This window comes from Homo sapiens, chromosome 4, assembly GCF_000001405.40.
Source record: "Homo sapiens chromosome 4, GRCh38.p14 Primary Assembly".
Lineage (NCBI taxonomy): Eukaryota > Metazoa > Chordata > Mammalia > Primates > Hominidae > Homo > Homo sapiens.
Window position 1 is genome coordinate 8,297,077 of NC_000004.12, and position 19,494 is coordinate 8,316,570.

At 50.3% G+C, this 19,494-nt stretch overlaps 1 protein-coding gene across 1 annotated transcript in view, besides 2 other annotated features; it reads left to right on the plus strand.

Moving 5' to 3' along the window:
- Positions 1-10,022, plus strand: part of HTRA3 (HtrA serine peptidase 3) — a 37,345-nt gene extending 27,323 nt beyond the window's left edge. The window contains exons 7-9 of the mRNA NM_053044.5: positions 5,387-5,435; positions 7,108-7,203; positions 8,895-10,022. Coding sequence (NP_444272.1) covers positions 5,387-5,435; positions 7,108-7,203; positions 8,895-9,060 — 311 coding nt within the window. The 3' untranslated portion in view covers positions 9,061-10,022. The remainder of the gene's footprint in view (positions 1-5,386; positions 5,436-7,107; positions 7,204-8,894) is intronic.
- Positions 17,404-18,233: an enhancer, noted in NCBI's record as "H3K4me1 hESC enhancer chr4:8316207-8317036 (GRCh37/hg19 assembly coordinates)". NCBI's record gives its function as "activates a minimal SCP1, AML or CMV promoter by ChIP-STARR-seq in naive H9 embryonic stem cells {active_cell/tissue: H9 hESC(naive)}" and the evidence as "EXISTENCE:reporter gene assay evidence [ECO:0000049][PMID:30033119]".
- Positions 18,234-19,061: an enhancer, noted in NCBI's record as "H3K27ac-H3K4me1 hESC enhancer chr4:8317037-8317864 (GRCh37/hg19 assembly coordinates)". NCBI's record gives its function as "activates a minimal SCP1, AML or CMV promoter by ChIP-STARR-seq in naive H9 embryonic stem cells {active_cell/tissue: H9 hESC(naive)}" and the evidence as "EXISTENCE:reporter gene assay evidence [ECO:0000049][PMID:30033119]".

Here is a 19,494-nt window from a genome sequence, read left to right on the forward strand (position 1 = left end):
CCTGGTCTCAGAAGCCATAAGGTCCCTTGGTCTCAGGCCCCTGTGCTGGGTAGAGTCCTGAGTCCTTCCCAATAGTGGAAAAGTCTGGGGAAGGCAGCCCAGCCACCTGGCAGGAGCAGGGCCAGGAGCAGGACGGGCAGGGAGGCTGGTGGCCCCATACTTGGTGTGTGTTCTGCTCACCTCTCAAGTTCAAGGAGAAGAGGCTTCAGAGTCCCCTATCCTGAGCACAGTGAGTCGTGCTTTCCCCAGCTCTGGCCCAGGGGCATTACCAGGCCTCTGCTTTCCCGCCCGCACAGTGGGTCTAAGTCAGAGGGGACCACAGTCATTGTTCAAATGCTGGCTCTGTGTCTTGGACTCCTGTGAGCCAGAGGTCCTGCCCTCCCGCTTTCCTTCTAGCAGGGAGACGGGCCACAAAAACGCCCCCAGATGCCACAGATCAAAGTGAGGGGTGCTGGGAGGAGGCTGGGGCAGGGCTGTGGCCTCGAGGGTGAGGGCTGCATGACGGGGCAGGAGACCTCTCTGAGGAGGTGACCCACCTCCAGCAGAGACTGTGGGAAGGGAGTGGGGCAGGCTCTGGAGATTGCAGGGGACTCCCAGGCAGTGGGAGTGGGAAGGGCCCATGTCCCAGGTGGGCTGTGCAGGTCCTGTCGAGGATCCCACCCCCTGGATTTAGAAGCCACCTAGAGAGTGATCCCCCGGATTTACGCCTCCAGCCTGGCCCCTCCTGCTCCAGGCTCAGACGCGCAGCTGCTTGTGGGATGGACCCACCAATGTCCACAGGCAGTTCCCACTAAGAGCACCTGTCAAGACCCCCCTGCTCCTGCAGCCCCACCTGCCGTCCCCACTGAGTTATGTCAGCCTTGTCCCTCTGTCCCTCTGTCCCTCTGGACTTCCCACATGCCTCATCCACTGTCAGCGAGTCCATTGGCCCAGGCTTCAGGATGCATCCACCCCGGGCCTCGTCGCCGCTCCGCCTCCACCTCCACCTCCGGGTCCAGCACCGGGGCACTCGCTGCCCTGGACCGTTACCTCTCTGGGCTCCTCCGGATGCTGCCCCATCCTCCACAGACCCTCCCACAGCCAGAAAGGCCCTTTCAAAACTAACGGCAGATCACGTCTGGTGATTCAAGGCCAAATCCAAAGCCTTCCAGGGCCCACTGGACCCATGGGTCAGGCCTCCCGGCCAGCTCTGACCCCATCTCCCACATGGTTTATTCATCAGCTGTTCATCTTTGGTGTGTTTAAATATTTGGCCCATTAAAAACATTTAGGTTATTTGTGTTCTTACTAGTAGGTTGTGAGAGTTCTTTCTACATTCTGGATAGGAGCCCTTTATCAGATAAGCAAATTGCAAATATTTTCTCCCAGTCTGTGGCTTGTCTTTTTCATTCTCTGAATAGTGTTTTTAAAGAGCAGAAGTTTTGTAAATTTTGATGAAGTCTGTTTTTTTTTTTAATTTGTCATGCGTTTGGTGTTGTATCTAAGACGTCTTTGCTAACCCAAGATCAGAAAGATTTTTCTCCTACAATTTCTTCTAGAAGTTTTACTTTTTGAGGTTTCAGATTTAGGACTGCGATGCATTTTGAATTAGTATATTTTTAAATAGTGCAAAGTATAGATCGAGGTTTGGGCGTTTTTGTTATTTTTGCCTTGGAAATTCAGTTGTTCTAGCACCATTTGTTGAAAGACTGTTCTCTACTGAAGTGCCTTCGCACCGTTGTCCAAAAGAGAATGACCATGTGCCATTCCAGCTGTCTGTGTTTAGGCCAATATTCAGTACTGCACTGGCCCGATTACTGTGGCCTCACGGTAGGTCTAAAAGGCAGGCAGTGTGAGTCCCCCGACTTTATTCTTCCTTTTCCAAGTTGTGTGGACTCCTCAGACCCTTTGCATTTCTATATGAATTTCAGAATAAGCTTGTCAATTTCTACAAAAAGAAAAATAAAGCCTGCTGATGATCTGATTGGGATTCCATTGAATTTACAGATCAATTTGGGGAAATTTGGCATTTTAACAATGGTAACTCTTCTGATCCATGAATACAGACTACCTCTCCATTTATTTATATCTTCTTTAACTTCTCTCTGCAATGTTTTATAGTTTTCGGTGTACTGGTTTTTGGGCATTTTTCATCAGATTTATTCATAAGTATTTCTTAATTTTGATGCTATTATAAATGATGTATTCTTTTAAATTTCAGTTTCTGCTGGTTGGTTAAGAGAATATTCAAATTAAAATGATTTTTGGATGTTCACCATAAGATATCCTGTAAGCTTGATAACTCACTTACTGCTTCTAGAAACTTTTTTTGTAGATTCCATCAGATTTCCTACATAGATGGCTATGCAGTCTGTGAATAAAGACAGTTTTACTTCTTCCTTTCCAATCTGAATGCCTTTTTTTTTTCTTGCCTGGCTAGAACTTCCAGTAAAATATTGAATGAAAGGGGTAAGAGTGGACATCCTTGTCCCGTTCGTGATCTTGGGGAGAAAACATTCAGTCTTTCACCATTAAGTACGGTGCTAGCTACAAATTTGCATAGATATCCTTTCTCAGGTTGAAAAGTTCCCTTCTATTTCTGGTTTTTATTGGGAATAGATGTTACTTTTTGTCAGAGGCTTTTTGTGCATCTCTGGAGATGATCATATGGTGTTCCTTTCTAGTCTGTTAATGTGGTAAATTGCATTGGTTGATTTTTAAATGTTAAACCAACTTTGCATTCCTGGGATGAACCTCACTTATCACTTATTTGTGATGTATTATCCTTTTTTTTTTTTTTTTGAGATGGAGTCTCACTCTGTCGCCCAGGCTGGAGTACGGTGGTGTGATCTTGGCTCCCTGCAACCTCTACCTCCCAGGCTCAAGTGATTCTTCTGCCTCAGCCTCCCACGTAGCTGGGATTATAGGTGCCCACGATCATGCCCAGCTAATTTTTGTATTTTTAGTAGAGATGGGGTTTCACCATGTTGGCCAGGCTGGTCTCAGACTCCTGACTTCAGGTGATCCACCTGCCTTGGCCTCCCAGAGTGCTGGGATTACAGGCATGAGCCACTATGCCCGGCTGTATTATCCTTTTAAATGTATTTATGGATTTGATTTGTTTAAAGAATTTTTGTATCTGTTTTCATGAGGGATATTGGTCTAGTTTTCTCTTCTGGTTTTTGTATTCAGATAAGGAGGTTAGAAGTAGCCACTCATTTTCAGTTTTCTGGAGGAGTTTGTATAGAATTAGTACTATTTCTTCCTTAAACATCTGGTGGAATTCTCCAGTGAGATCTTTTAGGCTTGAAGTTTTTTTTTGTAGGAAGATTTTTAACTCCAAATTCAATTTCTTTAATAGATGTAGTGCTATTTGCGTTATTTCTTCTTGAATGAGATTTGGTGGTTTGGAAATTTCAAGAAATTTGCTTCTTTTGTCTAAGTGATTAAATTCATTGACATCAAGTTGTTCACAATATTCTCTTATTATTCTTTTAATATCTGTAGAATCTGTAGTGATGTCACCTCTGTAATTTGTGATGTTGATAACTGTGTCTTTTTGTCATGATCGATCTTGCTAAAGATTTATCAGTTTTATTGATCTTAAAGAATCAGCTTTATTTTTTATTTTCACTATTGTGTTTCTTTGATTTACATTCTTATCTTTATTTCATTGATTTACACTCTTCATTGATTCACACTCATCTTTATTATGGATTCACACTCATCTTTATTATTGATTCACACTCTCAGCTTTATTATTGATTCACACTCTTATTAGATTCACACTTTATTACTGACTCACACTCTTACCTTTATTGATTCACACTCATCTTTATTATTGATTCACACTCTCAGCTTTATTATTGATCCAGTCATCTTTATTATTGATTCACACTCAGCTTTATTATTGAGTCACACTCATCTTTATTATTGATTCACACTCATCTTTATTGATTCACACTCATCTTTATTATTGATTCACACTCTCAGCTTTATTATCGATTCACACTCTTTATTATTGATTCACACCCATCTTTATTATTGATTCACACTCTCAGCTTTATTGAGTCACACTCTTATTAGATTCACACTCTTTATTGACTCACACTTTATTATTCACACTCATCTTTATTGATTCACACTCTCAGCTTTATTATTGATTCACAGACATCTTTATTATTGATTCACACTCAGCTTTATTGATTCACACTCATCTTTATTATTGAGTCACACTCATCTTTATTATTGATTCACACTCATCTTTATTATTGAGTCACACTCTCAGCTTTATTATTGATTCACACTCAGCTTTATTATTGATTTTCACTATCAGGTTTATTATTGATTCACACTATCAGCTTTATTATTGACTCACACTCAGCTTTATTGAGTCACACTCTCAGCTTTATTATTGAGTCACACTCTCAGCTTTATTGATTCACACTCTCAGCTTTATTATTAATTCACACTCAACTTTATTATTGATTCAGACTTTTAATTATTTTTTTTCTTCTGGTTATTCTAGGTTTTATTTGGTCTTTTTATAGTTTTTAAGACGGAAACTGAGGTTATTGATTTGAGACTTTTCTTATTTTCTAATATAGACACTTTAGTACTATTAATTTCCCTCTACCTCTACAACCTACAAATTTTAATATATTATACATTCATTTTTATTCAGCTGAACATAATTTCTAATTTCTCTTTTTACTTATTTGAAGATGAGTAATTTAGAATGTATTATTAATTTCCAAGAATTTGGGAATTTTCTGGATACCTATTATTGATTTCTAATTGTGGTCAGAACTCTTATATAAAATGAAAATTCTAAATTTATTGACTCTTGTTTATTTCTGGATCTGAGACACCTGCTAACTCACAGATTGGAGCAGCTTGGGGGATGGAGACACTATCTCAGTGAGTTGCGTGTGCAGTGCCCCAGCCACAGGGCCTGGCACATGGTTAGTACTCACTGGACATTAGCAGCGAGTATCGTTTTGAGGAAGACCAGTGGGAGGTGATGAGTTCAGTTCCAAGCAGGGAACATTTGGGGAAGCAGCAGTATGGAAGCCAGAAAGGACAGCCCCACTGGCCACTGGGGTTGGGTTGGAGCTCAGCTGGGAGAGCAGATGTCGGAGCTCACATGGTTGGATGCAGGATGCGGTGGACATGAAGCCACCTGTGGGGCGAGCCACACTAGAGCTAGAATACCCCTCAGCTCCATGATGATGGTCAGGAGAGGGCAGCTTTGCTGGACCGCAGGGGGACTGGGCCAGCTCAAGCAGAATGACACCTGCTGCTTCCTGGTCCTGCAGGGGAACTTCTGTCCTCTGCCTGTCCCCTGAGGGAGCGTGGTGGCTTTTCACAGCAGCCCTAACGGAGTCTCGCCGTGTTTCATTTCCAGACTGGAAGAAGCGCTTCATCGGCATACGGATGCGGACGATCACACCAAGGTGAGTGTCTGAAGAGTGCCATCCCCTGCTACCCCTTCCTCTCATCCCTCACCCTGACCCTCCCTCCAGACCCTGGCTGGCTGTGTTCGGCTCCTTGCAGGTGCCCAGACGGGCCGATGCACTCAGGCCTCTGACCGTTGCTCAGGCCAGTCCTTTTGCGTGGACCTTTCCCTCTTTGCCTTATAGATTCCTTCTGCTCTTTCAGGACGCTATCTCTTTCCATGGCTGCTATAACAAATTACTATAAGCCTGGTGGCTTAAAACAGCAGAAATGTGTTCCCTCTCAGTTCTGGAGGTCGGGGATCTGAAGTCAAGGGGTCGGCAGGGCTGCACTCTGCCTCTGAGGCTCCAGGGAAAGCTACTTCCTTGCCCCTTCCAGCTTCTGCTGGCTCCAGGCATCCTTGGCTTGTGGCTGCCTCCCTGCAGTCTCTACCTCTGTCTTCACTTGACCTTCTTTCTCTCTGAGTATCTGTGTGCACATCTCTCTCTCGTTTCTCTTATGAAAACATCCATCATTGGAGTTAGGGCCCACTCTAAACCAAGAAGGTCTCTTCTCAAGATCTTCAACTAATGACATCTATAAAGGTCCTATTTCCAAACAAGGTCACATTCTGAGGCTCTGGGTGTACACGAATTTGGGGGAACACCATTCTGCATTCCCAGGACACTCAAGTGGCAGAAGGTGCCTCCTCATAGCACACAGAGCCCTGGCCTCCCTCTCCAGCCTTGAACTCATCCTGCTGTGTCGGAATCACCTGTGGTGGGACCGCCCCACCCCATCCTGCCTCCTCGGCTGTCAGCTCCTTGGGAGCAAGGACTGTGACCTACTTATTCCTCCACTCTGCCCCAAAAGCAGGTCCACTGCAGAGCAGGTGCCTGGAAATGCTGAATGAGTGCAAGAAAGAAGGGGCTGGGGGAGAGGAAGCAGGGGCAGGATAGAAGGGAGGCTGGAAGTACAAACTTGAGCTTCGAGGTTTGAAGAAGGGAGAGGTCACTGCATCGGGAGCCTAGGAAGAACTCGAGAATGCTCAAGTGACCATTTCCTCAAAGCACACAGTCCCTAAAGCTGTCATTCCTCCTGTTTCACCAACTCTGCTAATCTAGGGGTGACATTTGAAAAAAATTATCAATGTCCAGTATGCCAATTTATCTTTTGTTTTCTGTCTCTTTTATCTGTCTGTCCATCCCACCTCTGTCCAGTCTTCTGTCTGTCTGTTCCATGACTCAGCATTGTCTGTTCATTCCATGACTCAGCATTGTCTGTCCGTTCCGTGACTCAGCATTGTCTGTACGTTCCGTGACTCAGCATTGTCTGTCCATTCCATGACTCAGCATTGCCTGTCTGTCCATTTCTCCTTCTATCCACCCATCCAGCATCATTCCTTCATTCATCCATCCATCCATCCATCCATCCATCCTCCCGCCCCTCCTCCCACCTGTCTACCCACTCTCTCTCCTCTCTTCACGCTTCTAACCAGCTATTGCTACCACGTTTCTCTTAAGAAGCACATCTGGTAGGGGACACAGAGTGGCCAGTGGTGGGACAGGGCAGTATGGGGGCCCAGAGGTGGCTCCTCTTCTGGTCTGGTGCTGGAGGGAGGGAGGGGCAGCTTCATACCAAAGAGCTGGGCAAAGGCTCAGGGGAGGGGCCTTGACGGCAGACTCTTTCCAGCCTGGTGGATGAGCTGAAGGCCAGCAACCCGGACTTCCCAGAGGTCAGCAGTGGAATTTATGTGCAAGAGGTTGCGCCGAATTCACCTTCTCAGAGGTAGGCTCTGCCAGAGGAGATCGCTCGAGGCATGGGGCAGGCGTGAGGTCTGGGCTGGGGCTGCCCCACTGACCTCATGTGACCTTGAGCTTCCCAGCAAAGTGACCGGGAAGGGGCAGGTGGATTCTAGCGTGTCTGCTAAGCCAGAGGAGGCTGGAGAGCTGAATGGTCCCTAGAGCCCTGACTGTGTACGTCCTAAGTCCCACAATGTCATTTCCTTCGAGAAGCAGAGGCTGAAGAGTCCCTGTTGGGCTAAGAACCCACTCCAAGCCAGACTCTTTCACTAGCTGGGGACCAGCCTGGGTCCTGGGTCTTTCTGGGACTCAGCTTCCTCATTGTAAAGTGGAGATAATTCAGCCTATTGTTTTTTTTTTTTTTTTTTTTTTTTTTTTTTTGAGACAGTCTCCCTCTTGTTGCCCAGCCTGGAGTGCAGTGTCGCGATCTCAGCTCACTGCAACCTCTGCCTCCTGGGCTCAAGCGACTCTCCTGCCTCAGCCTTCTGAGTAGCTCAGATTACAAGTGCCCACCACCATGCCCTGCTAATTGTTTTTGTATTTTTAGTAGAGAAGGGGTTTCACCACGTTGGCCAGGCTAGTCTTGAACTGCTGACCTCAGGCGATCCACCTGCCTTGGCCTCCCAAAGTGCTGGGATTTCTACCCCCAGGAGACTTTGTAGATGAAATGGATAAAGGATTGCTTTCTTTGAAGTCTTCCAGTACTAGAGAAATGTTAAGCATTGCAACACCATAGGCTGAGGCAGGCGTGCAGCGACACTACCACATGCTGGCATGGCTGACCCACTCCCAAGAAGGGCTCTGAACCAGTTGCCTCCCCTCCTTAGCCTCGGTCTTCATCTGCAGTGGGAAAAATCCACATATAAGTGGACCCACACAGTTCAGACCCATGTTGTTCAAGGGCCGACTGTACTGTGCATCCTCAGAGGCTGGGCTTGAAGGTGGGAGGCCCCGCGTGAACTTCTGTGATGAGCACAGATGGCACACTTGTCCTGCCCGCAGCAGGCCTGCAGTAAAAATTGTTGAAATTGGGTGAAATTTTCCACACACATCTCAGTTAATCCTCACTGCAGCCAGGGAGGTGCAGGCTCCTGCCCTCACCCATTTTACAGGTGGAGGGACTGAGGTTTAGAGAAGTTACTCTTCCAGGTCACACAGCTGGCATGTGAGGGTCCTGATGCTGGTGCCCACGCAGCTGAGCACAGTACCATCACCTTCCTTCCCAGCAGTGGGGAGGTCTCAGTGAGCCTCATGCAGAGAGAAGGCTGGCCCCGTGAGCTCTGCCTCCCACATAGACGTCTTCGTAACTGCAGTAACAGCAGAACCTACTCCTGGGCCTTTATAATTTGCAAAGTGCGTTTCCACATAGGATGGTAGACATGAAAACTGAGGCACAAGGGGACAGAGTGCCTGGCCCAGCTAGGAGGGCTGCAGCGGGAGCTTGAACCCACCCTTCTGACGCATGGGAGAAGCAGTTTGAAAGGTTGTTTCCCTGTCGTGTGACATTGGTTTTCTTCTGGTGTGAGAGCTTTGGGGCTGGGGCACTGTTCTTTCCCATCGAGATGACTTTTGTTGAAATGTTGTCATTGACCCTGACTGTGCCTCGCTCTGGGCCGGGCCTGGGAAGGCTGTGCCTGGGGAGGCGGTGGGTGGTGACCCCGTCTCTCCTGTTGGCAGAGGCGGCATCCAAGATGGTGACATCATCGTCAAGGTCAACGGGCGTCCTCTAGTGGACTCGAGTGAGCTGCAGGAGGCCGTGCTGACCGAGTCTCCTCTCCTACTGGAGGTGCGGCGGGGGAACGACGACCTCCTCTTCAGCATCGCACCTGAGGTGGTCATGTGAGGGGCGCATTCCTCCAGCGCCAAGCGTCAGAGCCTGCAGACAACGGAGGGCAGCGCCCCCCCGAGATCAGGACGAAGGACCACCGTCGGTCCTCAGCAGGGCGGCAGCCTCCTCCTGGCTGTCCGGGGCAGAGCGGAGGCTGGGCTTGGCCAGGGGCCCGAATTTCCGCCTGGGGAGTGTTGGATCCACATCCCGGTGCCGGGGAGGGAAGCCCAACATCCCCTTGTACAGATGATCCTGAAAGTCACTTCCAAGTTCTCCGGATATTCACAAAACTGCCTTCCATGGAGGTCCCCTCCTCTCCTAGCTTCCCGCCTCTGCCCCTGTGAACACCCATCTGCAGTATCCCCTGCTCCTGCCCCTCCTACTGCAGGTCTGGGCTGCCAAGCTTCTTCCCCCCTGACAAACGCCCACCTGACCTGAGGCCCCAGCTTCCCTCTGCCCTAGGACTTACCAAGCTGTAGGGCCAGGGCTGCTGCCTGCCAGCCTGGGGTCCCTGGAGGACAGGTCACATCTGATCCCTTTGGGGTGCGGGGGTGGGGTCCAGCCCAGAGCAGGCACTGAGTGAATGCCCCCTGGCTGCGGAGCTGAGCCCCGCCCTGCCATGAGGTTTTCCTCCCCAGGCAGGCAGGAGGCCGCGGGGAGCACGTGGAAAGTTGGCTGCTGCCTGGGGAAGCTTCTCCTCCCCAAGGCGGCCATGGGGCAGCCTGCAGAGGACAGTGGACGTGGAGCTGCGGGGTGTGAGGACTGAGCCGGCTTCCCCTTCCCACGCAGCTCTGGGATGCAGCAGCCGCTCGCATGGAAGTGCCGCCCAGAGGCATGCAGGCTGCTGGGCACCACCCCCTCATCCAGGGAACGAGTGTGTCTCAAGGGGCATTTGTGAGCTTTGCTGTAAATGGATTCCCAGTGTTGCTTGTACTGTATGTTTCTCTACTGTATGGAAAATAAAGTTTACAAGCACACGGTTCTCAGCCAGCAGGGCACTGGGGCAGCCTACCCACCACTGGCCAGGGTTCTTCCTGGGGACCCATCTAACACATGACTGGGCATACCTGCAAAGACACGGGCCTTTAAAGGGTTTCTATGACAGCTGAGCACTGGGGCACACCAGGTCTCGGGGTCATGTGGCGCTGTGGAGGGCCAGCTCCGAGTCAGGCAGCCCGGCTCAAGTCCTGGCTCCTCCGCTTACTTCCGGCTTCGTGGTCTTGGGCAAGAGATGTTCCCCTCCCTACCTTGGCCTCTGCCTCTGTCCAGCAGGAAGGCTGGCTCTGCTGTGCTGACCTCCTGGATGCCCTGGGATGCAAGGTGACAGATGCAGCACTTGGGAAGCCACCCGGCTTACGGGGAGCTCCCACTAAGCCCCACTGTGCACGTCTGGTCACATGAAGAACCCTTTCTCACATCTATTTCACCCTCCCTGCCACCCATCCAGCGATGGGGAAACTGAGGCAGAGAGCAATTTCAATGAGCAGGAGGTCCAGGGACACTGCCCAGAGTAGCTGGAAGCGCAGCACTGGGAACCGTGAACTTGCCCCCAACCCTCTGCTCCACCCAGAGTGGGCCACCCCTGCCAGGCCCCCAGCCACTCTGGGCCCATCTAGGCTTCCATCCACCTGCCAGGCTTAGGCAGCCATGTCCACCTTCCAGGCCCTGCTCTCACTCCCGCCTGCGGCCTGGGCTCTCCACACACACCCTGGCCCCAGAGAGTAGGCTGTTGCCCCTCAGTCTTTGGGCCCTGGCTGAGAGGAGCCTATTGGGTGTTGGGGGGCTGAGGTCGGGAAGAGGGCATGGAGAGCTCTGACCTTACCAATTATTGGAGAGGCGAGCACTTGGGGGAGGGTTGAGGGCCACCAGGGAAACCACGACCCCCATTCCCACAGCTCTCCCAAATCTGGAGGGTCAGCGGTAACTGTGGTGATTTCTGGGGTCCTGTAGGTTCTGGGGGAACCGGGTCTGGAGATTCTGCCCATTCACACTGTCCCTGCATCGGTGTCCACCACATGAAGCCACTTCTCCCTTGATGGCTATTCCCACCTTGCGGGGGACAAGTCTTGACACCCCAGCTCAGACCACCTTCTCAACCCCCTGTGTCTGCCCTGCAAATGCCTCAGGGGAGAGCGGATCACAAATCCCAAACCCACCCACTCACTCACAGATGGGCCATGCTCTGCCTCAGGGGAGAGCGGATCACAAACCCACCTGCTCACTCACAGATGGGCTGTGCTCTCCTGGCTCTGTCTGGGTCGCGCTCACCTTGCAGCCTGGCTTCGGAGTCCCAAGATCCCTTGCAGGGGCCTGACGAGCACAGCGGAGCTCCTCATCAGGAGGCTGAGCTCAGATGAGCCTCTGAGCCTCGGTTCCTCCACCTGTCAAATGGAGATAATGTTGTTTTCCTTTTTCTTTTTTTTTTTGAGATGGAGTTTCACTCTGTCGCCCAGTGGTGTCACCTCTGCTCACCACAACCTCCACCTCCTGGGTTCAAGCAATTCTCCTGCCTCAGCCTCCCAAGTAGCTGGGACTACAGGTGCCTGCCACCACGCCCAGCTAATTTTTGTATTTTTAGTAGGGACGGGGTTTTACCGTATTGCCAGCTGACCTTGTGATGCGCCTGCCTTGGCCTCCCAAAGTGCTGGAATTACAGGTGTGAGCCAATGTGCCTGGCCGATAATGTTGTTTTCTTAACAGTTTGGGTTCCATTGAAGGAGATAAACTGGCTGCGTGAGCACTGAATTAAACAGCATGAGGAGGATCCTACTCACACTCCAGGACAGAATGTGCCCCCGAGATGTTGCCTCCCACCACCCTCCTTCTCCCTGCCCCTGGCCCCAAATGACCATGGCCTCCGGATGCCCATCTGTGCAGCAGGGAGGTGGGACGGGGGTCTCTGAGCTTGGGAGTGAGCGGGCCTGGGCTGTGGTCCCAGTTCTGACACCCTTGAACTGACCTCTGTGGGGGTCTCCAGCTCTGGGCTTCTGCATTCAGGAGGCCTGTGGCTGCCACCTCCAGAGGAAGAGGGACAGTGGCACTCAGACAGCCCTCCCTCAGGGTCACACTCTCGCCCACCCCGGCTGGCCCTGTCGTAGTGGGAGGTTGAGACCTCTGTCCTCTCAGCCCCCGAGACCTGACTGTTCCCTCCGGGCAGAGCCGCCTCCCTGGCTGCCCTTCCAGCTGCACTCCGTAAAAAAACAACCTTTGCAGAGGCTGCCGGCTGCTGCCCCGCCATTGTGCAACCCTCTGGCTCCTGTGCAGCCCCAGCTGCTGGGCCGCCACCCACCCCTCCGCGTGTCCCGTGAAGATGTAAACAGGGTGCTCACAAGGCCAGCGCCCACCAGGAGGAGCACCCTGCCCCAGGCTGGGTCCTCAGTGAGCACCTGGAATCTCACAGGCACAGGTCCCCATGTCCCAACACCCCATGTGACAGAGACAGAAACTGAGGCCTGGAGAGGGCGAGGACCTGTTCCAGGTCACATGTGAGCCAGTGGCTGGGCTCCAGGTGACCAGCATCAGGCTCCCGTCTGTCCCTTCAGGCAGCCGTGGTGCAACTGCTGCAGGACAGACCTCCACTGCCCTGACGCGGGGCCCAGCCAGTGCCTCCAGGAGGGCAGACCCTGCCTCCCACTGCTCACCCGTGGGTCACACATCTTCCTTCCAGAGTCCCTGCCTGCTCCCTCTGGGGTGAGTGGGTTCAGAATGGATGAGCACAGTTGGAAATTTCAGAATGGGTCAGAGTTGAAGGAGAAGGGGAGTGCCCGGGGCTGTCACCCACACCTGCTTCATTCCTACTGACCATTCCCTCTATCATGGGCCGAAGAATGGCCCCCAAAGGCATCCATGTCATGATCCTCGGAGCCCTGGAATGTCTTATATGGCAAAAGGGACTTAGCACATGTGATCAAGGCAGACTCTAAAGTGGGGACATGATCCTGATTGTAGGGTGGGCCTGATGTGACACAAGGGTACTTATAAGAGGGACACAGAAAGGTTCAGCAGAAGTTAGAAAGTGGGATGATGGAGTGACAGGTGGGGGCTCTGTGGGGAGTGGCTGAGAATGCAGAGGACTTCCAGAAGCTGGAAAGGCAAGGAAAGACAGGAAATAGTCCCTTCAGAGCCCACAGAAGGAGCCACCCCACTGACTCCTTGACTTTAGCCCAGACAAACTGATTGTAGACTCTGGCTTCTAGGACTGTGAGAGAAGGAGCGTGTGCTGTCTTAGTCGGTGAGGTTCATGGTCATTTGTTAACAGCAGCCGCAGGAACCACATCCACTCTTCAAGCTGGCCTCCAACTTCACTCCCGCCGGGAAGCCCCACCCTGCCCACGCCGAGGGCCTGGGGACCCTTTAGAGCCCTCATGGTCTCTGGTTTCTGGCTTATTTCCTTGTTCCTCTGGATGTTGACTGCTCCTTGCTTCCCCACCCGCTAGAAACATTGGCTCCAGGAGCTCAGGAACTTTGCTTAAACCACAGCCATGTCCCCAGAGCCAACCCCAGTGCCGGGGCAGAGCAGGTGCTCAGTGAATGGGTCTTAGTTTGAATGGGACTCGTGGGCTTGAAAGTTCATCTCAGCTCTGTAACTCTGGGGCCTATGTTGCCATGTCACTCCAAGCAAACCCCAAAATCCAATATCCAGGAAGGCCAGGATGTCAGGGATGGGAAGATGCAGGGTCAAGAGGTGGGGGTGGGAGGAAAATGGCCCCACTCTCCTCATAGCTACTGATCCTCTGAGCCTCAGGATCCTCTCTGAAAGTGGAGGAGCAATCTTCACTCTGCAGATATCCCCTCCAAAGGAGAAGCCCACGTGCTGCCCTGCACCCATGCAGCCATCACTGATCCCTGCACCCACGCAGCCATCACTGAGCCCTGCACCCACGCAGCCATCACTGAGCCCTGCACCCACGCAGCCATCACTGAGCCCCTCTCCCAGGACCTCTCTAGGCTCCAGGGACACCCCAGGCAGGAGAGCCTCCAAGGGGAAATCCCCTCTCCTCACCTCGCCAGTTCCTGCCGCTGTCCCACTCCCTCCTCTCACTTCAGAAGAAGGGACCCCTCCTCCCTGGGCTCTGGGGCCACCCTCCATGGCTCCTTAGAGGAGAGGAGACCTTATCTCACCTCTCACCAACTGAGAGCTGCCCTCTCCTTGAGCTGCCCAAGTCCTCTCCTGTGATGTTTTATCATCACCTCACACAGTGGCCACAATCCGCACTCACCTTCCTGTCCCCAAAGAGCTCCCTTTTGCCTTCTGGGGTCCGGAGGAGAGTTCGGAGGTCGGCCATCTGCAAAACACTCCCTAACCCACTGTTCTCCTTTGACTACTGTTCACACTTTGCAGGGGACAGGCCCTGACACCTGAGCTCAGATCACCTTCTTGACCTGTGTCTGCCCAAAAATGCCAGGGAAGGAGGCGATCACCTCAAGAGGCAGGACGTCAGTGATCTTTGGGGAGAGGGCTGCTGATGGGATGGGCTGAAGGGAGGTTCTGGGGAGTCAAGACTTGGGTGCTGGTCACCTGGGGTTTGCTTTGTGATAGTGCATTGGATTGTTAGGTTTCTCTGCAAATCCTCCCAGACCAGCAAGCCCGGCCCTTCAAACCCAGGCCAGGCAAACGTCAGAAGGATGTCCACAGCACACATGAGTATGTGAACTCACAGCTCATGTGTGTGCACACTCAGATGCTTGTATGCATGGCACAGCACGTGTGAGTGTGCAAACACAGCTCACATGAGTACACACACTCGGATACATGTGCATGGCATAGCACATATAAGTGTGTACACTTCCAGCTCACAGGAATTTGCACACAGAGATGCATGTGTGCCTGCCACTGCACATGTGAGTATGTACACTCAGAGCTCATGAGTTCATGCATGCGTGCATGGGCACAGCATACATGGGGTGGGTTTTCTGGGAGCTGACAGACATGCTTGAAACACTTTTATTTTTTCAAAATCATTTTTTACTGTCAAGTGTGGCACATATAACAATGTGCCACAAACCTAAACAGTCCAATGCACTATCAAAAAGCAAACCCCACATGACCAGCCCCCAAGTCCTGACTCCCCAGAACTTCCCTCCAGCCCATCCCATCAACAGCCCTCTTCCCAGAAGGGTCACTGACGTCCTGCCCCTTGAGGTGATCGCCTCCTTCACTTTATAATTTTGCCACCTAAGCATGCATTGCTAAGCACAGTTGCACGCTGCCTGCATTTTTCACATGAAATTACACTGATGTACTCACTTGCATCTGGCTTCTGCTCAACATTACATTTGTGAGATTCATCCATGTTGATGTGTGCAGCTGAAGGCTACCAATATCCACCATTGTATAGTATCTGCTCTGGGAACATGTGGCAATTCCTTTACCTGGTCTCCTGTTGATGGCCACTTTGGGGTGTTTCTAACTTGGGGCTATGGTGCATCATGACATAACATCCTCATAGCTGTGTCTTGTGACTTGTGGAAGCATCTCTGTTGGGCGTATTTCTAGGACTGAAGCTGCTGGGCCATATAGTATACATATATTCAGTTTTGGTAGAAATGCAAACTTTTCAAAGTAGTTTAACTACTTTGCACTCCCAACAGCAGTGTGTGAATTCCTGTTGCTCCACATCCTCACCAACACTTGATGTTGTCATTCTTGGATGTGAGACATTTTGTGGGCATGCAGCGGTAACTCATGGATTTCAATTTGCAATTCCATGATTCTTAATGAGGGAGGTCTGGCAACTTCTCAAGTACTGTATTTATTGGTAATTTAGATGTCCTCTCTGGAGCAGTACCTGTTTGAGTCTTGCCCATTATTCTCTTAAATTGCCTTTTTCTTACTGTGTGGCAGGAGTTCTTTTATATACTGTAGAAATGAACTCTTTGTTTTATGTATATAAAATTCCTTCTCTTGTGGATATATCTGGAAAACATTATGCTAAGTGAAACAAGTAAGCCATAGAAGGACAAATACTGCATGCTTCCTCTTACATGAGGCATCTAAAACAGTTAAAAGCATAGAAGTAGACAATATAATGGTGGTTACCATGGGATGGGAAGAGAGAGATATGAGGAACTGCTGTTCAATGGTTATAAAATTACAGTTACACAAGATGAGTAAGTTCTAGTGACCTATTGTTCAACATGGTTTCTATAGTCAGCTATATGATATTATATACTTAAAATTTTGTTAAGAGGGAAGATTTATTTTCTGTTCTGTGGGAGAGTTTGTATAAGTTTGGCATTCTTTCTCTCTTAAATGGCAATAGAATTGACATCTGTTCTTGGAGTCTTGTTTGTGGAATGGTTTAAATTATGGATTTAATTGTTTGAATAGTTATAGGACTGTTTAGATTTTCCATTTCTTCTTGTGTCTGTTTAGGTAAGTTGTATTTCTGAGAATGTGTTCATTTCATCTAAAATGTCAAACGTAGGCTGGATGCGATGGCTCACATCTGTAATTTCAGCACTTTGGGAGGCCGAGGTGGGCTGATCACAAGGTCAGGAGATCGAGACCATCCTGGCTAACACAGTGAAACCCTGTCTCTCCTAAAAATACAAAAAAATTAGCTGGGCATGGTGGCAGGTGCCTGTAGTCCCAGCTACTCGGGAGGCTGAGGCAGGAGAATGGTGTGAACCCGGGAGGCGGAGCTTGCAGTGAGCCGAGATCGCCACTGCACTCCAGCCTGGGCGACAAAGCAAGACTCCACCTCAAAAAAAAAAAAAAAAGTCAAATGTATCAACATAAAGTTGTTTATAATTTCCTCTTTTTATTTCTTTGATGTCTTCAGTTTCTCCAATTACGTCTCTATTTTCATTTTTGACTTTGCTATTTGTTCTCTCTCTCAAGCTTTATCAGGAGGTTAAATTTTGTTACTCTTTAAAGAACCAAATTTGGCTGTGTTGATCCTTTTCATTGTATATTTGCTTTCTATTTCATTAACTGCTGCTCTTACCCTTATTATTTCTTGTCTTCTACTTTCTACCTTGGGTTTAATTTGCCTCTCAAGAAGAACTTTAAAACATATGCTGAAAGTATAAACTACCCGCTAGCACAGCTTCAGCGGTATCACTCATTGGGTTTTTCTGAACTTCTGCTCGACAAATGTTGCCCTCCTAGGTTGTTCCAGAATCAATATCATATTATGTTTAGAGCACAGAATCTGGAACCACACAATCTGCATTTGAATTTCAGCTCTGAAACTTTCTAGCTATGTGGCCATTGCCAATTTAGTTAATTTCTCTTTCCTCAGTTTTCTCATCTGTGAAATGGAGCTCATTATCATTCTCCCTTGGAGAGCGAATGATTAAACAGTATAGATACCCACTCATAATATGCTGTTAGCTATTACCATTTTATTACTCTGAGTTTTCTACCTCTTCGTCTTTGGCTATATAAATTCAGAAAGATTACCTTGACTTTTCCTTCTATTTTATTTTTTTCATGTACTCCTTCTTATTCTCAGATTGCTTCTTTCTTTATAGTAGCCTATTCTCGTTTTATGGATGCAAAATCTGAAATCTCTCTGGGGATAGTAATTAATATGCTTTTAATACAACTTGTTAGAAAGCACGGTGGGCTCTGTTTTCTCTATAGCTCTTGTCCACCCCAGACTGCCTCCTGGCCACTGGTCTTACTCTAGGGTCTGCTGGTCCTGTGTGTCTGTTTGAACATATGGCTGGAGGACCTGGCAGATTCAGCTAAGCACCTGTGTGGGTTTTCTTGGACATCTCCAGTCTCTGTCCTGAAAGAGAAGCTGGCCTTGACCTGTGGGTGCTAGGCAGGTGTGTCTACCAGCAGGCTTCACTTGAGGGGGCACCGAGGGGAGAGGGCAGGGAGGCTGCCTTCCAATCCCCAATGAGGAGCACCTTCGTTTGGAATACCGACCCCTGCCTTGAGACCTGGCATCTCCAGAATTGCTGGAGAGCTTCCTGCCACCACCCAGTTCAGCTCATCTGCAAACAAGTCTCAAATCCACCTGTGGGTTTTCTTTCCCTCTTCCCAGTCCATGCTCCAAACCTGTAAACCCCAGGAGGCCCTCCTGTGGTGCTGGTCTCCCGGCACCTCTATAGCCTTCTTTCCCTGGTCCTTCAGCAGCGGCTCCTGCACTCTCAGCTGAGATGCATCTTACAGAAATTGTCAGAATCTTCAGTTGGTGCAAGCCCCTGTTCAGAGCCAAACCCTGGCTCTGGCAAGTTTGGCAATCTCTCTGAACCTTAGTTTCCCTATCTGTAAAATGGAGTCTTTAATATGCATCTCACAGAGTTGTTACAACAGTTACCTGATCCTCCTCCCCTCTGGCCTGTTGCATGTCTTGGTGAAACTAGAAAAAGCTTCCTGTTCCCCAAGACACCTTCCTGCCATTGCTGAGGAGATTGCAGTGGCGGATGTACAGCACGCTCTGACCTTGAACGTGAATGGCACGGTCTAGGGAGGGCCTCCTGGATGTGATGGACATGGACATGTCTGAGGACCCAGCCACAGCAGGCACTGCAGAGCTGCTGTCCCCACTCCTGCTTCAGGAGAGAAACCCTTTCCAAACAGACCCGTTCTGCTCCTCCACTCTCCCCTGGCTGACGGCATTCCCTGGGACTCCTGGCCCTTAAGCAAGGGTGCAGGGGACACCACGCTCCATGTTTGGTTGGCCACACCTGAGTCACTGGGTGGCAGAGTGTAGGCATGGCAGGTTCCCGCCACACACGTGCAGACAGAATGTGCCCCTGCAGGGCCTCCTCGCCACCTGCAAGGCTGGCTCTGTGCCAGCGCCTGGCAATGTGAGAAGCTCAGGAAGCCGGGGGCAACTCCAGCCAAGGGTGGCCAGCAAGGCCCCCTTTGTGTATTTTCACATTCACTGAAATGAAGCAAAGCCTGCTTTTAGAGAGTTCGTGACCCGAAACGTGATTGCAAGGTTACCGAGTCTTTCCAAACATTTCCCTTTGCATCTGTGCTGTGGCTCCGCCTTCCCTCCAGTTCAGCCCTGCTCCGATGCTGACTCAGAGACCAAGGAATGCTCCTTGCTGTGTGTGCCCCCACCCTCCCCCACCTCCAGATGCGGCCTTCCTCACCCTGCCTCAGGCCCACCGGAGACCCGGAGACAGTGAGGGGCTTGAGACACTTTGGGTAAATTTCTTCCTCGGCTCAGCTTCATGGGCCGGCTAGTTTTAGAGTCCCCTCCACAGTCAGTGCCCAGGATTCATGCATCCCCAGCCAGGCCTCATCCGGCCCAGGCACCTGCCCAGCTCCTTCTCCTCATGCCTGGCTTCCTTCTGTCATTCCAGGACCAGGCCCCCCTGTGACCAGAACTCCTGCGACTACGCCCTGCTGTAGCCAGCACCTCTGCAACCAGGACACCTGTGACGGCCCCCTCCCTGCAACCAGGCCTCCTGTGACACCCCCCGATCCCTGCTGCAACCAGGGCCCCCTGTTGCAACCAGGGCCCCCTGCTGCAACCAGGG